This window comes from Homo sapiens, chromosome 1 (assembly GCF_000001405.40).
Source record: "Homo sapiens chromosome 1, GRCh38.p14 Primary Assembly".
NCBI lineage: Eukaryota > Metazoa > Chordata > Mammalia > Primates > Hominidae > Homo > Homo sapiens.
This window is the reverse complement of record NC_000001.11, coordinates 39,823,573-39,842,844: the sequence shown is the minus strand read 5'-3', so window position 1 is coordinate 39,842,844 and position 19,272 is coordinate 39,823,573. Positions and strand designations below refer to the sequence as shown.

The 19,272-nt window shown below is 43.8% G+C and overlaps 1 protein-coding gene and 1 long non-coding RNA gene across 20 annotated transcripts in view, besides 1 other annotated feature; one reads left to right on the top strand and one right to left on the bottom strand.

Moving 5' to 3' along the window:
* The window catches only part of TRIT1 (tRNA isopentenyltransferase 1), a 45,402-nt gene extending 40,667 nt beyond the window's left edge, over positions 1–4,735 (top strand). For 16 of the 18 annotated variants that reach the window (NR_132414.1, NR_132413.1, NR_132412.1 and 13 more), the window contains one exon: positions 932–1,814. Coding sequence is in view for 4 of the 18 variants with exons in the window: in NM_001312692.1 (NP_001299621.1) it covers positions 932–1,101 (170 nt within the window). In the remaining 14 variants the exon portion in view is untranslated. Of the gene's footprint in view, positions 1–931 lie in introns of all 18 variants that reach the window. The other 2 variants (NM_017646.6, XM_047423225.1) reach the window with 1 other exon arrangement.
* On the bottom strand, positions 4,890–18,699 carry LOC105378667 (uncharacterized). Of its 2 annotated transcripts, none has more exons than XR_947221.3 (4): positions 18,413–18,699; positions 17,142–17,282; positions 10,788–10,874; positions 4,890–4,968 (listed from the first exon to the last, which is right to left on the bottom strand). It is a non-coding gene; the product is annotated as an uncharacterized LOC105378667 (long non-coding RNA). The 2 variants fall into 2 exon arrangements; XR_947222.3 differs by lacking the exon at positions 18,413–18,699 and adding an exon at positions 17,648–17,678.
* Positions 5,742–5,942: a silencer, noted in NCBI's record as "peak189 fragment used in MPRA reporter construct". NCBI's record gives its function as "represses an SCP1 promoter by STARR-seq MPRAs in K562 erythroleukemia cells {active_cell/tissue: K562}" and the evidence as "EXISTENCE:reporter gene assay evidence [ECO:0000049][PMID:32103011]".
* Positions 18,700–19,272: the final 573 nt, after the last annotated feature.

Below are 19,272 nucleotides of genomic sequence, written 5' to 3'. Positions count from 1 at the left end.
GACTTCTTCCCCAAGTAAACTTTTCTCTTAATTCTAACCTCTACCTTACTTATTCTTGCTTCTAAACTCTTAAAAATGATGTTTTTAATATGTATAAAAGAGAATTTAAACTAGTTGTCCATCTCTTTCAGTGTTCCCAGATGAGATTTCCTTGAAAAAAGAACAGGATAGTGAAAATAAATCTGTATGAGTTAGTCAGAAGGTGGGAACTGTCTTAGGGGTGACAGGTCAGCAGTTGATAGCAGGCAACAGTGGCCCTAAAGCTTGACTTCCTTCTTGGACCCTCAGAAGAGATCGTCGGTGATAAATGCACCTTCCTGTCTCCCTGGAGCAGTGTGTGCCTAGAGAATAGGAATCTTGCCAGAGAGTCGTTCACATGACCTTTTTGACCCAGGCACAGGGATGCCAGACCAGGAAGGACAACAGGCAATGCCCTGCAATACAGATGAGGATTTGAATTTCTAACTTTTCAACCTTACAAGTTAAAAATGCATCTATAACAGGAAGCCCCATACTACAGAGACCTGATTCTGGAAAGTGGGATCTCTTTTTGGAGCTATAGGTCTAAGTAGAAGAGTTTACCTGCTGTGTGACCTTGGACATTTTGTAAGACCTCTCTGAACTTCAGTTTCCCTTGTATAAAATGAGCAGAATAGTACCATCTTACAAGACTGCCATGAGGATTGGTGATGTAAAGTACCTAACAGGGAGCACTTGATATGTGGTAGCTCACTCTATTTTGCTAGCTGGCTGGCCATATAATTTATTCTTCCCTTAAAAATGCTAAGCAGCTATACTAGTACATGTGTTGATCTTGCTGTTTATTGTTGAAGAAAAGCATTGTATAGTTAATTTTACTTGCTTCTAGGATTAATTCTAGAAAATTCCTAATGAGTTTTTTTGTTTGTTTGGTTTGATTTTGTCTTATCAGCGCACATAAAATCCAAATCCCACTTGAACCAACTGAAGAAAAGAAGAAGATTGGACTCAGATGCTGTCAACACCATAGAAAGTCAGAGTGTTTCCCCAGACCATAACAAAGAACCTAAAGAGAAGGGATCCCCAGGGCAGAATGATCAAGAGCTGAAATGCAGCGTTTAAGAGACATGTCCAGTGGCCTTTGGAAAGGTGGTGGGGATCCAGTTCAGGAGGGAGGGGTATGTTTGTCTCCCAGTCTGGGCAAAGGAGTGCTATGCGGAATTCTCTGCATAGCAGAAAAGCTCCCACCATTTTCTTTTGATGTGGTTTTAAAGTCTCACGTTCTCTATAATAGAAACAGCAGGTCTTGTCAGCTCCTTGTGTGGCTGATGTGTCTGGAAATGATGTAGTTCAGGAAAGCATTTTTTTTTTCTTTGAACCTTAAAGGTTCTATTATTAAAAGCAGCACAGATTCCACATTTTTATACATGAGGATCTTCTTTGTGGTGAATACCAGGATTGACTGCATCCCTTTAAAGAAGTTTTATGTCCCTGACTCTGGCTAAAATTATCTAATTTCCAGATGCTTTTGTAGATGACTGAAGTATTTGTGAGCCACATATTGGGAGTTCTAGATTTGAGTGAATGGCAGGAAAGGGCCATCTCCATTGAGATGATTAAGTGAACCAAACTAGTTCTCAGAATTCTACAGAGAAGGAGGGAATCAGACTGAGGAAGCTGTGACATAGGACTTGAAGACCAAAGACTTTGAAATTTGCGAGCTGCTCATGTGTGAGTTATTATCACTGCTGTCTTTCTATTGAGTTACAAATCTATATTTTTATTGAAGTTTAAATAAAGAAAAAATTTACAAGAGCCTCTTTGATCCTTAAAAAGATATACAAGTCCATGCCTAGTTTATACACAGTATGCTCTGTTATCAATGTGATAGCTTTTTCTCAAATTTGACACTTTTTGTAGATCATGCTGTCTGTTCATTTATGTAGCGGGTGTTTATTTAACACGTTATAGTCCTTGAAGACATCTAGAGAGGGTCTTTTATTGGAGATCTATTACTTCCAATTGAAGCCCTCTTTCTGGAGTGACCTGAGCTGCCAGCAATGTTAAACAGATACTTATTTATATATAACATCAAATATAGCATTTTTAGGGTATAATTCAGCAGCATTAACTACATTCACAATGTTGTGCAATCGTTGCCACTATTTCCAAAACGTTTTTGTCACTCCAAACAAACTTTGTGCCCTTTAAGCGTTAACTCCCCATTCAAATACATTTTGTTTGTGCAGAATCTACTCTATGAGAGGCCCTGAATTAGGCTAAAGGGAATGCAGAGATGAGATGTGGTTCTTGCCTTCAGGGAGCTTATAAATAATTGCATGTGTACACAAACACCAATCCAGGCAAGACAGTATCAAAGGCCGTAAGAGCTGTGTAGAATTTCAGTTTAGAAGGAAGGGAAGGGATCATGGAAGGAGGAGCATTTCTGCTGCACCTTGAAAAGCAATTCTTGATAAATGTTTTGTTTCCTATGCATATAAGACTTCATAGAGGAGAAGGTAGAGTAAAAAAACTATCTAACTTGATTGACCTTTTTAAACAGTGCTGAATTCCAGAGCCTCACCCACTTTTAACTGATTTGAATCTCAAAAATAAATTTATTCTCTGGGCAAAGAAGTTTATTAACTACTTTAGGACCTAACAAGGTGGGAAGCCACATCTTCCCGGTGGGAGTGGAGATGAGTACTTACTGTGAGCCAAGCAGTGCCAAGTCGTTTTTATATGTTATCTTCTCACACAGCCCTGGGAGGGAGATGCTGTTTCCTTTGCTGTTAACCAGGGAGGAAACTAAGGCTCAGCAATGGAGTACAGCTAGCAAGCGGTAGAGCTGGAATTGAGGTGAGGCTGGTAGACTCAAGCTATTAAGCACTGTGTTAAGCTGGCAGTTTGTAGGGAAGAACCTTTAGTTTCTCTGAAATATTCTTCGTTCAAGTTGCTAAGTATGTTTTAAAGCCTAAAAAGGTTTCAGTAGACAAGCAGGAAAAACTAGTTTTAATAATTGTACGTCAAAAAGCTTTTAATCCTTCCATCTGAAATACCTGGAGCAGTAACTTCTCATTGAACTCATTGTTATCTCTATGGCAATTGGAAATCAGGCCTTTTTTACCAAAAAAAAAGTGTCTAATATTTATGAAGCACTTACTAAGTGTAAGGCAGTGTGGTTGAGCCCACTGTTCATATTCTTAGAAATTGTAAATTCAGCCAAATGAAATTCCTTTATCAGCAGCAAAGAGCCTGGGAAAGGCAGAACACTCACTAGAAATCTGCCTGGTGCTCTGGTCTGAAGCATTGCCCTGAGTAGATTTCCCCTTTTGTGCCTGCTCCCCTATGAATGACTTCGCTGTTGAGTGTAGGGAAGGAAAGTAATTTGTCTTGTGGTGGTCGTAAATGTAGAGATGAAAGAATTCTTTATCTCTTGTATGGATGGGGAAACTGAGGCCTAAAACATGGATGTTCCAGTCACAGAGCAAGGCAAAGCTGGGACAAACCTTAGATCACCTTTCTTACTCTATTACTAAATCTCATACCAAATCTCATTTGAGAGCTGAAAAGTACCATAGAGCTTTGGGCTATTTGCTCAGCCTGGAGTGAGAATGAGGAATGCCATTTTGTACCATCTGGCCATAGCAATCCCAAGGCAAGCAGAGCCCTCCAGTCCAGGTATCCAGAGCCTCCAGTCCATCACACCAGCAGTGCTATCTAAATGGCTTTGGCAATTAATTCCAATACTCAGTGAGCTATTAGGTTCATCTGCTTCTGTCAGTAAAAATCTTGATTAGGCTTTAGATACTTCTCACAGTTCAGGCAGTGCTGTTGTAAGTGGGTAGAAAGTACTTTGATTCTGAAGAGAGATCTAGACTTGAAAATACTTTGCTTGATTCTTAGGGCTAAGCAAGAGAACAGCTCATCTGTATTCCAGGAATATGGCTTGATCCTTCCTAACTCTCAGTAATTTTTTGTCCTCTCTTAGCTCTCTTTAGTTCCAAAGAGGATTTTTTTGCTTAAAACAAAACAAAACACCCAGTATAACATTAAAAAATAACAGTCCGGGAGTGGTGGCTCACGCCTGTAATCCCAACGCTTTGGGTAACTGAGGCAGAAGGATCACTCAAGCCTAGGAGTTTGAGACCAGCCTAGGCAACATGGTGAGACCCAGTCAGCACAAATATATACATACATACATACTTACATATATATATATGTATGCATGCCGGGTATGGTGGGTCATGCCTATAGTCCCAGCTACGTGGAAGGCTCAGGTAGGAGGATGGCTTGGGCCTGGGAGATTGAGGCTTCAGTGAAACATGATCATGCCACTGCATTCCAGCCTGGGTGGCAGAGCAAGACCATGTTGCTCAAAAAGAAAATAAAACTAACAACCCCCTCCCCCAAACACACATGCATGAAATCAACCTTTTATGAATGCAGTGACTTGTCAATATCCCTAGCACCTAGACACAGTCAAATATTTGTTGAATCAATTGCATGAAAGCATAAAAACTAAGTAGGTCTCTACATAAGTGATCTGCTTCAATTGTTAAATACTTTTTAACCAGGATGAAGAAATTTTGGGATAGCCACCAGCAGGAATTTCTGTATTTGATTATCACCTACTTGGGCAGTTAAGGCTGTTTTCTAAAATGATGGCTAACTGGTTATTTGTAAAGCTACTCTGAATGCTTACAAAGGAAGCTGCATGTTTGTATTAGTTCAGGTAAAAGGCTAAGTTGCTATAACAAAGAGACTCAACAATACAGTGGCTTAAAGAACAAAGAAGTTTATTCTTTCTCACGTAACAGCTCTGAAGGGAATTAACCTGTCTGAAGTGAGTGATCCAGGTCATTGGGGCAGCTGTGCACCAAATGGTCATTCAGGGACACAGATTCCTCGTATCATGTTGCTTCTCCATCCTCTGGAGCATTGTCCTCATCTGCTGCATGCTTGAAGCTGGGTCATCACTGGTCCTAGCTGATGGGAAGGGGAAAAGGAACAGGGAGGAGGTAGACCCGCTGCCTCAAGGCCTGGACCCTGCAGTGGCACGGATACTTCTGCCTACATTCTCACTTTCCATTGGCAATGACTTAGCCCGATGGCCACACCTACCTGCCAGGAAGGCTGAGAAACGTAGTCAAGCCATGTGCCAAGAAGGAATGGGAGGACAGGTTTTGGTGGGCAACTTACAGTCACCACTAGATTGGTATCATGGAAGGAGCACTCAATTCCAGGCTCATTTAACTAATTAATTTAACTCAGTTTGCTAGGGGCAAATCTATTTCTCCATCTGTGAAATTAGTGAGTTGTATTGAGCTGACCTCTGAAATATTTCAAAAAGTAAAGCTTGAGAAAATCCTGGCTGGTAGGACTTTAAGATGAGAATAAGAAAGCATTATAGGGAATGGGAGACTGTATAAACATCAGGGCCAGTGGCTCATACTGTAAAGATGGTGGGGAGGAAAGATGGAAGGTGTTTTGGTGGCATTGTTGAATAACTGAACTAATGACTTAACTGCCTACTTTCAGACTTTATGTGGCAGGGAGGGGACAGGGGGAGAAAGAAACCACTATTTGTATTTGCAGCTGAACACTTTACTTTCTAATATACTATCTGTGTGATCTTGGGAATATTGCTTAAAAGCCTGTTTCCTCATGTATAAAATGAAGTTATCTGTATTCCACGGGACATGGTAAGGATTAAGTGAGGTCCTGTTGTAAATAGCATAGTGTTTTGGCACTGTAGTGCCCAGTAAATGGTAAGTACAAATTGGATTTATTTGCTTCATTGGGGAAAAATTGTTAATGCTATTAAAATGTTGGTTTATGATATGGTATCATTTCTTGGAAGTTATCAGGGCAAGCTCTGACTTAAGACTGACTAGTTTGGTGGACTATAGTACTAATGGCCAGAAACGGTGCCTCGGGCTTCAGCTGCCACCCACCTAGGCTTCAGCTGTTAAGTTTTGTTTGTTTCAATGATATGATTTCTTCCATGGGTCAGCTCATTTGCTTGAACTGTTTTCTTCCCTTGAAATGTCCTTTCCCCTGCTCTTTACCTAGTGAACTCCTGCACATCCTTCAAGGCCCAGATCTGATGTCCTCTCCTTAGAAAAAGCTTCTTTGACTCTAGGGAGACTTAATTTCTCCTCCTAGCAGTTAATACGTAATAGTGTTAACATTAGCTGGTGCTTAGGTAGTCCTATGAGCTAGGCACTGCTTTAAGCACTTTTACACATATTAACTCATTTAATCCTCACAAAGCCCTATGAGGTAGTTTTGTCATTGTTCTTGTTGTCTCTGTCTTACAACTGAGGAAACTGAGTAGAGCAGTTAGGTGACTTTCCCAAGGGCAAGCTGGGATTTGAAAATAGGTGGGTGGCTCCAGAGTCTGTTCTGGCTCATTATTTTGCCACAGCTCATAGCACCTGTTATTTATCTCTTGTTCCCACTGGAAAGTAAATTCTGCCAGGATCTGAGTACTATTTTAAGATGATTGTGGAACATATAGTGGGCACCCAATGTATATCGAGGCTAATTTCTGCAAGACACACCTCCCTGTCTAAACGTAGACATGGCTTCTCTGTGTTGAGTGCTTCTGTGTGTCAGGCATTATATCAAGCACATGCATACGTTATAATGATTCCTTAAAACAAACGGACAAGATAATCTGTTATCACCATTTTATAAACACAGCTTAATGAACAGTGGTTGGCACAGAGTAAACATGCAAATATTTGCCGAGTAGCAGAGATAAAGCTTGGTGAGGGCAGCGATGTTTGTCTGTTGTTCACTGCTTTATCCCTGGCATCTACAAGGGCCTGCTGCTTAAAAGCACTTATTTGTGTTTTTGTTTTTTTACTTGAAGTCAGCCTTTTATTTTTATCCAGATTTATTGAGATATAATCGACAGATAAAATTATATATATTTAAACTATATAAAGTGATTTTATATATGTGTATATATGTATGTGTGTATCTATCTATCTATCTATCTATCTATCTGTCTATCCATCTATCTATCTATACCACCATCAAGTTAGTTAACACATCCCATAAACATTTGTTGAGCTAGGATTTGAAGCCAGTTTGGGCTGACTCCAAACTCATACTCTAACCACAACCCTCTACTTCTGCAAGGGCATTTCTTTAGGGTTTTTGAATGTACAAATTTAGGGTTTTTGAATGTACAAATTATTTATATCCCATCTACTTCTAAGAAAGAATCAAAGGAAGAAAAGGTTAAAAAAAAAAAAAAGAAAAGACTGAAGAACTAACTCTTGTACAAAGATGTTTATGGCAAGAATCATGGTTGCAAATGAAACAACTCTAACTTAAGTAAAAAGGTGGATTTATGATTGGGTTAATGAGGTGTCTCATCAAATTCAAGGGCAGGAAAGTATCTAGGCTCCAGCCACAACTTGTACTACCCAATCTGAGGCTTTAGAGACTTTCTCTTTTCTCTGCAAATCAGCTCACTCCTCTCTCACTGTAAACAGGCTTTCTCTACATGGCAGGAGACAGGGCTGCTAGTAGCACCTGTGTTTCACCTCTTATGGCCTTGACAACTGGGGACAGATTGTGCGGATGTTTTCTCTGGTTCTAAGTTCAAAAGCCCTAGGACACCCCGTACCCATTAGAATGGCTGCTATAAAACAAAACAAAACAAATTAACCCAGAAGATAACAAGTGTTGGCAAGAATGTGAAAAAATTGGAACCCTTTGCACTGTTGGTGAGAATGTAAAATAGTACAGCTGCTGTGGAAAATAGTATGGCAGTTCCTCAGAAAATTAAAAAGGGAACCGCCATATGATCCAGCAGTCCCCCCTCTGGGGATATATCCCAAAGACCTGAAAGCAGGGTCTCAGGGAGATACACCCTTGTTCTGCATAGCAGCGTTCTTTACAATAGCCAAGGGGTAGAAGCAGCCCAGTTGTCCATCAAGAGTGAATCTAGGCCGGGTGTGGTGGTGCACACCTGTAATCCCAGCACTTTGGGAGGCTGAGGCGGGTGGATCACCTGGGGTCAGGAGTTCGAGACCAGTCTGGCCAACATAGTGAAACCCTGTCTCTACTAGAAATACAAAAATCAGCTGGGTGTGGCGCAGGCCTGTAATCCCAGCTACTTGGGAGGCTGAGGCAGGAGAATCACTCGAACCCAGGAGGTGGAGGTTGCAATGAACCGAGATCACGCCACTGTGCTCCAGCCTGGGCGACAGAGTGAGACTACATCTCAAAAAAAAAAAAAAAAAAAAAAGTGAATCTAAGGGCTGCACATGGTGGCTTGTGCCTGTTATCCCAGCACTTTGGGAGGCCAAGGCAGGAGGATCGCTTGAGCCCAGGAGTTCAAGACCAGCCTGGGCAACACAGTAAGAGCCCATCTCTACAAAAAATAAACAGATTAGCTGGGTGTGATGGTGTGTGCCTGTAGTCCCAACTACTTAAGAGGCTGAGGTGGGAGGATCACTTAAGCCCAAGAGGTCAAGGCTGCAGTGAGCTGTGATTGTGTCACCGCACTCCAGATCCTGGGTGACAGAATGAGGCAGACCCTATCTCAAAAATAAATAAGAGTGAGTGGATAAACAAAATGTAAGTACATATGATGGAATATTCACCCTTAGCAAGGAAGGAAGTTCTGACGCATGCTACAACTTTGAGGACATTATGCTGCATGAAAGCCAGTCAGGCCGGGCGCAGTGGCTCATGCCACATTGGGAGGCTGAGGTGGGAGGATTGCTTGAGCCTGGAGTTTTGAGACCAGCCTGGGCAACAGAATGAGACCCACCTCTACAAAAATAAAAGAATTATTACCCAGCACTCGGGGATGAGAGGTGAGATGATGCTTGAGCCCGGGAGGGCAAGGCTGCAGTGAGCCTTGGCGCCACTGCACTCCAGCGTGGGCAGCAAAGCAAAAAAAAAAAAAAAAAAAGCCAGTCACCAAAAGACAAATATGGTATAGTTCCACTTACATGAGGTATCTAGAATAGTCAAATTCATAGAAACAGTATGGTGTTGGCTGGGGGTGGAGGGAAGGGTAAATGGAGAAGTTTAATGGGATAGAGTTTCAGTTTTGTAAGATGCAAAAGTTCTGGAAATTAGTTGCACAACAATGTGAATATGCTTAACACCACTGAACTATACGCTTAAAACTACTTAATACACTTTCATACTGTAATACACTTAACATTACTGAACTATAAGCTTAAAAGTGAATTTTACCACCATTTTTTAAAAGTAAAAGTCCCAGGAAAGGGATCTTTTAGCCCAGCTTGAGTCTAGTGCTTATCCTGAGGCCCATCAGCCAGTCTGGAGATGGATTCCTGAAAGGACAGGACAGTTCCCATGGAAAGGATGGAGTGGAGGTGGAGTGATTCCCAGAGGAGAAGGGTGAGCGGGTTGGTAGGAGGGGAGGGCACCTGGGCAGACAAGCATTTGTGTCCACTGTGGAGTTGCTGTCTGCTAGTCAGTAAGACACTTGGTTTTCTAGCAGCAGGGCTGAGCTTAACTAAGTCCATATGCCTTCTGGGTGGTACTTGCCATTATCTTCATCATGAGATATCTGTAGTAGTCATTCCTTAGAAATTTATGGCCCAGTATGGTTTTAACAAAACTACATATCTTGTTAGTATTTGCCAAAAACATTTGAGGTCGTTTCTACAAATGAAGAAACAGACTCACAGTATTTCAGTGACTTAACACAGGGTTGGTGTTAGTTCAGTTGTAAGGGATTGAAAGCCAGTTTAAACTAATTTAGGTATAAAAGACGATTTGTTGGCTTATGGAATCTAAAAGTCAAACAACTGAGCTTCTCCTGAAAGGACAGGCAAGGTGCAGCTGGGCCTCAGGAACAATTGCTCCCAAGGACTCAGACACTACCAGCACTGCCTCATCTCTTCTCAGCGTGCCGATTTCACGTTTCTCTCCATGCAAACCAGCTTTCTTCACGTGGTCGTGGTCATTGGAAGCTGCCACACCTCACATCTTACAGCTTTTCTTCACTGAAAAGAAGTGGACCAAATCCCAAGTTTAAAAGCCCCAGGAAAAGACGCAATTGAGTAGAGCTGAATTCTGTTGTCTACCCTTGGATTAAGAAGGACAGCGTACCATCTAAGAACATGGCCCTCCCTGTAGAACAGTATGATAGAATGAAGCCAGGGAACACGAGAGTTTTCAGGAAGAGGGCAGGGATGGGATTGGTGCTGAGTAGACCAAATAATAGGTGTCCATAGCAGTGACACAGAGTAGGTGGCAGATGAGAGAACTCCAGGTCCTCTGACTACAACCCTGACTAGCGCACCGTAACTACCGAGTACTTCCCATGCAAAAGGAAGGCCCTATCTCTGCAAGAACCGTGCATGGTGCATTATCAAGTGTGAGGCTGGGGTCAGACTCTGAGTCACCAGAAGTGAAGTGACAAATGACCTGAAAGCAAGGCATAAAGGAAAACCATTTAAGTCTGTGCCTTCTGCCTGAGCCTCCTTGTTAATATGAAGGGGATCGAGGTATAAAGACTTTTTATATTTTTGAGACAGGGTCTCACTCTGTCACCCAGGTTGGAGTGCAGTGGCACTCCTGGGCGCAGGTGATCCTCCCATCTTAGCCTAGGGAGGTTGGGACCACAGGCACCTGCCACCATGCCCAGGTAATTTTGTTTTTTTGTAGAAATGAGGTTTTGCCATGTTGCCCAGGCTGGTCTTGACCTCCTGGTCTCAAGCGATGCTCCCGTCTTGACCTCCCAAAGTGCTGGGATTATAGGTGTGAGCCACTGTGTCCGGCTCCAAGGTATAAAGACTTACATAGAAGTTATTTGTGGATTCAAAAATGTCTCTGTGTCTTGCTGGATCTGCATAATGAAGTCAAGTTGCTTGGAGACTGGTGGGTTCCTGATGGCAGACAAAAGTGTCAGCTTACTCTCTCTGAACTTTGGCAGTCAGACTCTTCAAGTGCTTTTTAGAAACTACCTTCTTTTTTTTTTTTTTTTTTTTTTTTTGAGATGGACTCTCTCTGTCGCCCAGGCTGGAGTGCAATGGCGCGATCTCGGTTCACTGCAACCTCCGGCTAATTTTTGTACTTTTAGTAGAGATGGGGTTTCGCCATGTTGGCCAGGCTGGTTTCGAACTCCTGAAATCTCAGGTGATCCACCCGTCTTGGCCTCCCAAAATGCTGGGATTATAGGCGTGAGCCACCGTGCCCGGCAAAACTACCTTCTTACTACATTCGTGGCTTTCTGTTGTTTTAAATATCAGCATGTAAAGGGTGCAGAGAATTCGGTGATCATGTTTCAGTTGTTTTCAAACTTGTTTTTAGCTGTGGATCCTTTTTTTTTTTTCCTTCTCCCAAGTCATACATGAATTGCAATATATAATATATACTGAACTAGACTGGCTTCAGGTCTGGGTAGGGTGCACAGTCTTCTGGTCCCTCTGATTTAGTGCCCACCCCCTTCCCCGCCCCCCGGCTGTGGGACACACTTTGAAAATCTCTGATCCAGATTAGCCACATAATTGAGCAGACAGAGAAAGTGAGTCCCAGAGAGGTTAAGTAAGTCACCAACAGCAACACAAAGAGTTAGTAAGTAGCAGAGCTATGCCTGGAACCCTGGTCTCCTGGTTTAGCAGTAGTGTTCTTTTTACTGGATTATGCCACTTCTAGTTATTTTGAATTAAAAAGTAGTTGTATTTTTCATCAGGTACGTGGTAAGTTGAACCAGTTCTGGACTAATATGAAGGCAAGTAGAGGACTTTAGGAGTCAAACAGCTTTATAATTAGGAATACCTATTAATTCAACAGACTTAAATGAGTGCTTATCATTCACTATTCTAGGTGCTAGAGATATATCAGTGAACAAGACAGTTCCTGTCTTCAGAGAGCTGGAGTCTTGCATGCTATCCCAGTGAATATGATAAATGCTGTAATAGAGTCGTTTAGGGAATACACAAGATTTTACCTGACTCGTTCTAGAAGAGTCTGGGAAGGCTTTCCTGAGGAAATGGCATCTGAAAAAACATGAGGCCTGGCACCAAGGCTCACGCCTGTAATCCCAGCACTTTGGGAGGCTGAGGTGAGGGGATCGTTTGAGGTCAGGAGTTCGAGACCAGGCATGGTGGCATGTGCCTGTAGTCCCAGCAACTCACGAGGCTGAGGCAGGGGGATTGCTTGAGCCCAGGAGGCAGAGGTTGCAGTGAGCCAAAATCAGCCACTGCACTCCAGCTTGGGCAACAGAGTGAGACTCCATCTCAAACAAACAAACAAACAAAAAACCTGAGAATAATGGGCAGGAGCCAGGTAGGAGAGTGTTCGGGGAAAAGGCAGGAGGGGTCTGCAGGACCCAGGTCATAGAGGACCCTGTAAACCATGAATCCCGAGAAAACATCAGACGTGTTTCCTGGAGAGATCACTCTGGTGCAATGCAGAGAATGGATTGGCTGCAGACAGCCTAGAGGCAGGGGACAGTTTAGATATTTAGCAGGTAGCATTTATAGGACTTGATGAAATGTTGGAGGTGAAGGAAGGGAAGGGGTCAGGAATGAGGCTGAGGTTTCTGACTTGAACAGTTGATTAGACAGTGGCCAAGTCCTTTGGCCAAGATAAGAACACTGGAGGAGGAGCAGGTTTGGGTTGAGGATGAGTTCAGTTTGAGACTTGGGGAGTTTGAGGCATCTGTAGAGAATCCTCATGGAACTGGATATTCGAGTTGAGCCCAGATTGCACTCTGGGCTGGAGATAGGGATCTCAGAGTCATCAGTATTGACGGTATTTGAAGCCGTGGAAGATGAGGTCACTCGAGCAGGGGGTGTAGTGAGAAGAGAAACAATCTAGAGCAGAGCCTTGAACATTAACAGAGCATTTTACAGAGCTTTGAGAAGGGAGTGGTCTGCAGGGAAGTGTGTAGGGGCCATGCACAATAAGGAATGAGAAGTATCCATTGGTTCTTAGTGATGACATCAGTGGTAACCTTGGTAAAAGAGGGGTCAGCTGAGGGTTAGAAAATGGAAGCCATATTCCAGTGGTTTGAGGAGTGAATGGGAGGAGAGAAAGTGGTGAGTGTCTAAGTTAGGAAAGGAAGGAGAGGGGGTTGCTAAAGGGAGGCTTGGGGTTGAAGCAGGTTTTTTTTTTTCCCCCTTTCTAAGAGACTTTCACATTTTAAAATGCTAATTGGAAGGAGCTAGTCATTCTAAATACTAGAAAATGGTTTCCTCCTTTTGTGAAAGATTTGGAAGACCATTTTTCTTAATATAATACAGCTCTTCCTTGACACTGTCTACAGGTGGGGTTACCAAGTCATCCTGTTTGGCTTGGGATTTACTAGTCTTAGCACTGAAAGTCTCATGTCCTGAGAAACCCCTCAGTGGGGGCAAACCAAGATGATCAGTCACCCTTTGTAGAGACCTCCTTCCAGAAGGATTAGGTAAGGCACAGTCTGCAGTTGCAGAGACTGTGATTTAGCTTTTCTCTGAAGATTTAGAGGAGTACCTACCTCTGAAAATAGACCTGTTGCAAATAATAGAAGAAAATGTAGGTGATACCTGATTGAAGTTTCAGTAGGATTCAAAAGATGGTACATAATTCACTTAGAACCAGCAATCCTACAACTGGAATAATCTGGGATAAGAAGAGATTAGGAGAAGATTAAAGACATGGCTGCTGAATTAAAACTGCATGGAAGCAACGAATGCCAGGTCCAACACAGAAGATCAATTTAGTAAAGAAAACAAACTTCAGATGGTCTCCCAGAACACAGGAAACTGATAAAAGACATGAAAATAAGATAAAAGAGGAGCTATGGAGGGCAGAACAATGAAAGATGAATTTTGATAATTCAACTGAGTGGACTCATGATTAATAGTGAATAATAAGAGTGAGGACATGTTGAGTGCTTGCTCTGTGGCAAGCCCTTTCAAACCCTTTACATGTGTGAACTCATTTAATCCTCATAACAATACTGAAGGATGGGTACTGCTATCCTCCCCCTCCACCCCATTTTCCATATGGCAAAACTGAAACACAGATTAGTAAGACAATGTGTGCAAGTTTATGCAGGCAGGAGATGGGGAGCTGGTGAACTCAGGTGGTCTGGCCCCAAAGTCGTTGCTCTGAAGTGCTGCGCTGTGCTGCCTCAGTATAACATTGAAATTAAATTGTTCAGTCATTCATTCAAGTGTTTTTTTGGTGTCTACTAAGTGCCAGGCTTAGCTCTGCTGCTGGGAAAATACAGACAGGGTTTCTGCCCAAATGCAGCTTACATTCTCATAGGGAGAAAGAAAATAATGCAAGTAACAAGCAATAAAGAAAATTTCAGTATGAAGTCCTATGAAAAATGGAAAAACAGGGTAGAGAGTTATTGGTGTGTGTGTGTGTGTGTGTGTGCGTGTGTGTGTGTGTGTGTGCTGAGGTGGGCGTTCTCACTCTGTCACCCAGGCTGGAGTGCGGTGGCGTGATCTCGGCTCACTGCAACCTCTGTTGCCTTTCAGGTTCAAGCAATTCTCCTGCCTCAGCCTCCTGAGTAGCTGGGATTACAGGTGCCTGCCACCATGCCCGGATAATTTTTGTATTTTTAGTGGAGATGGGGTTTTGCCATGTTGGCCAGACTGTTCTCAAACTCCTAACCTCAGGTAATTCGCCCACCTTGGCCTCCCAAAGTCCTGGGATTACAGGTGTGAGCCACCATGCCCAGCCTGAGGTGGGGGTTCTACTCCAGATGGGTTGCTCAGGGAAGATCCTCTGAGGAGGTGGCATCACCTGAGTCTGGAATGATGTGGAGTTGGTCATACAAGAAGATGGAGTAGAGGGAGCAGCAAATGCAGAGGCCCTGAGATAGGAATTGGGCTGGGCATATTTACAAGCTAGAAAGAAGGCTAGTGTGGCTACAGAAGAGTGAATGACAGGGTGATTTGTAAAAGACAAAGTCAGAGAAGTAGCCAGGCACTAGATAAGGACTTTGGATTTTATTTTATTTATTTTTTAATTTAAAAATTTTTTTTTGAGACAGAGTCTCAACTCTGTCACCCAGGCTGGAGTCCAGTGGCACGATCTCAGCTCACTGCAACTTCCACCTCTTGGGTTTAAGTGGTTCTCCTGCCTCAGCCTCCCGAGTAGCTGGGACTACAGGCAGCTGCCACCACGCCCGGCTAATTTGTTTTTGTATTTTCAGTAGAGGCAGGGTTTCACCATGTTGGCCAGGCTGGTCTCGAACTCTTGACCTCAAATGATCCACCCACCTCGGGCCCCCAAAGTGCTGGGATTACAGGCGAGAGCCATTGCGCCAGGCCTGGATTTTATTAAAGGAAGGAGTTAAAGAGTTTTCTGGCTGGTTTGTTCGTTTAGTGAGGGGAGGAATATGATCTGATTTACACGCTAAAAGATAAGTCTGGCTGCTCTGTGAAAATAGACTGTAAAGGCATAACAAGGATGTGGACTGTGGAAGCAGGAAAAAGGTTAACGGGATGTTCTGGCTGGAACCAGCGCCTGGAGCTCGAAGTTTTGAGCTGTCTCTCTGCCTTGGGGCATCCCCTCCCCATCTTATCTTATCACATTCACTGATTTATCTTCCTGTGGAAAAAGGAATCAGAGATCATAACTTCATAAAGGAATGACTACCCTGCCTCCTAGCTTATTAGACCAGCGGAGGGCCAGCCAGGCCAATCACACTCCTCCCAGGAATTTCAAATTGCAGCTCAGTCCTAGCTGGGTACACTTGAACAGAGAAATACAAGAACTGTGTTTGGTCATACACACGAAATAACTATTTGTTGTTATGAATGGGTGCACTACAAAACAGAGAAGGCTGATCTTCAGAGAAGGAGAAAAGCAGACAATGCAGGAGGGAATCCCAGATGAGGAAAGGAGAGAGAGATTCCTGTTGACTTCCCAGTTCCTCGGTCCCGACCCTCCTGAGGCCTAGTGTGCTTCCTTGGGTTCCTGAGATACCTCTATTTCCTTGTAAAAATTTCCATTTTCGCCTAAGTGCATTTCATTTATGTTTACCCCCAAGGCTCCTTGTTCCAGGGTGTGCACTTTCCGGGCTCCTGGCCTCGACGGCCACATTGTTCTCATCTGGGGCTGGTGGAGCCCTTGCTTCCCCACAGCCTCACCAGCTGGGGGCCTTGTTGCCTTGTTTTTTCTAGTTTTATGGGCCTATGAGGTTATCTTAAAGGTAACTGATTTTGCATTTATTTCCTGGTCAGACTTTCATTTTCCTAAGATAACTTTATATTCATGTTGTTTACATTTTAAGTGCTTTCTGGGTAGAATCCAGTTTCAAACTTAAATACTCAATTCAGTTTATTGGATAATAAACGTATCTGGTTTTTTTTTCTTTTTTTGGGTTTTGGTTTTGCATTTTCCCACATTCTCTTTCTTTCCTTTGTTTTGTTTCTATTTTTGTTTTTGTTTGAGACAAGGTCTCACTCTGTCACCCAGGCTGGAGTACAGTGGCACGATCTTGGCTCACTGCAACCTCCGTCTCCCGGGCTCAAGTGATCCTCCCACCTCAGCCTCCCGAGTAGCTGGGACTACATGTGCCACAGTGCCTGGCTAATTTTTGTATTTTTTTATAGAAACAGAGTTTTGCCATGTTGCCCAGTCTCGAACTCCTGAGCTCAAGCGATCCTCCTGCCTTAGCCTCCCAAAGCGCTGGGATTACAGACGTGAGCTACCTCGCCCGGCCTCTTTCCTTTTTATATCCTACAGAAGATAAAATAGAAATGAATTCATTCATCAAGCATCCTTTGAGTTTTTACTGTGTATCAGCCCTGAGTATATGAAGATGAACATGTCATGGTCCCCGTCCCTCACTTTGCCCACCTTAGAGAAATCGGTTTCCTGGGCCCTCCTCTGCTCTTGGGCCGCAAGCCCTCCCTGAATGATCTCATCTACTCTCAGGCTTTGGCTCCCACCTGTTCTGCAGGATGAGCAGGCTTTTTTGTTTGTTTTTTAATGATATGTGACTATTATCCCGTGCCCTTTGTCTTCAGTGCTTGCATGTTCAGTTTGACCCATGGGAAATTCCCCTCAGATATTTCTGTTACTATCAGAAATACCTTGGTGCTGTCCACAGGTATAGCTTGAGTTAAACTGGCTCACACACTAAAAAGCGTCTTCGCATGCACCCGTGGGACAGGGGTGGCTCTTCAGGAGCCAGCAGAGCTTACCCAGAAGCAACTCAGCAGCGCTGAATCTACTTGGACCTTTGGCCTGTGGACTGCCCTGCACGGCCCTGGCAGGAGTGAGGCTGCCTGTCCCAGAAGTGACACATGGGTACTCCTCGGAAGAGTCTATGTGGCTTCTATTCACTGTCAAAGAGGGAAGTGAGTAAGGAAGGGTGCTAGGAGGGTGGTTTAAGTGCCCAACAGCTGCATTTAGGAGAGACTTTTGGTCTCACATCACAGAGTATGAGCCAAAAAAGGAAACCCATGTCCTTGGCCACATGTTCTCCCAGCAGTTTTCAGATTGGAGCCTGTGTGTACTGATCACTCTCAAGTTCTGCCCTAGGTTCCAGACCTTCCTTCTGGATGTCCCATGCACACTTCAGACTCACCATGTCCAAGACAGGACACGTTACCATCCCACCATTCCCCAACCACCCCCTCCTCACTATCCACAGTCCTGATTGTAATAGTCTCACTGCCAGCCCCATCACCCAAGCCAAAATCCTCACCTCTTCCTCAACCCTTTCTGGGACCCCTCCCTTTCCTTCTTTGATAACCACCTGGTCACAAAGTCTTAACCATCTGTATTGGCTTCCTATTGTTGATGTAACAAATGCCATCGACCCTTAAACAACAAGGGTTTGAAGTGCATGGGTCCACTTAGACACAGATTTTTTTCAACTGCAGATCACAAATACAGTGTTTGCAGGATGCGAGGCCTGTGTATACAGTGGATTCCACATGTACCTGCCATTACTTCAGGACTTGAGTATATGGATTTGGGCATACTTAGGGGGTCCTGGAAACAATCCCCCACAGATAGTGAGGGACAACTCTTAACCACAAACTTTATGGCTTAACACAACACAAATTTAGGATCGTTCTTACAGGTGTGGTGATCAGAAATCTGAAACGAATTTTGTGCACTAAACTTAAGCTGTCGGCGGGGTCAGTTCCTCTGGAGGCTCTGGGGGAGAGTCCACTCCCCGCCCTCCAGCTTTTCCAGGTGGCCTGCATTCCTCGGCTTATAGCCACATCACTTGGATCTCTGTGTCTGCCGTCATGTTGCCTTCCTCCTACTCACTGTTGTGGAGGACCCCTATGATTACACTGGGCCCCTGGATAACCTAAAATAATCTCCTCATCTCTAGATCATTAATTTAGTCACATCTGCAAGGTCCCTTTTGTCATTTAAAATGACAGTCACAGGTTCTGGGGATTAGGATGTGGACATCTTCCACACCATCCTGACCACTTACCATTCCAGAACTCACCTGTTCCAGCTGTCATTGCTCTTCAGGCCAGGTCATCTCCCTTCTAGGCTGTTCAAACAGCCTCCTAATTGGTCTCCGCCTCTGGTCCTACCCTCTTCAACCCATGATCCTTCTAATAGCATCTTCTGTGTCTCTTTCTTGATTCTGCGTTTGTACTGACTCCCTGTTATCATCAGGATCCTCCAGTCTGAGTGCCTTAGATGGTGTGTGAGGTCTTCTGAGGTCTTTATCCTGCTCACTCCTTCAGCCAAATCCCCCACTTGCCATCACAAAGCTATTTTCCATGCTTCAATACAGAGAATAGTGTGGCTTTTAGAGCTCCTGAGGCTTTTAGAGCTTCTTTTTTTTTTGAGACAGAGTCTCGCTCTGTTGCCCAGGCTGGAGTGCAGTGGTGTGATCTCGGCTCACTGCAACCTCCACTTCCCAGGTTCAAGCAATTCTCCTGCCTCAGCCTCCTGAGTAGCTGGGACTACAGGCACATGCCACCAGGCCTGGCTAATTTTTATTTTGTTAGTAGAGACAGGGTTTCACCATGTTGGCCAGGCTGGTCTCGAACTCCTGAACTCCCGAACTCCCAAAGTGATCCACCTGCCTTGGCCTCCCAAAGTGCTGGTATTACAGGCGTAAGCCACCGTGCCCAGCCTTGAGGCCACACATCTCAGGCTTGGGTCTCAGCTTGCCAAACTAGAATTCTTGGGCCAGTAACTTAACATGCCTGTGCCTTGGTTTCTTCTTTTTCTTTCTTTCTTTCTTTATTTTCTTTCTTTCTTTTCTTTTTCTTTCTTTCTTTCTTTTTTTTCTTTCTTTTTCTTTCTCTCTCCCTCTTTCTTTCTTTCTTTCTCTCTCTCTCCCTCTTTCTT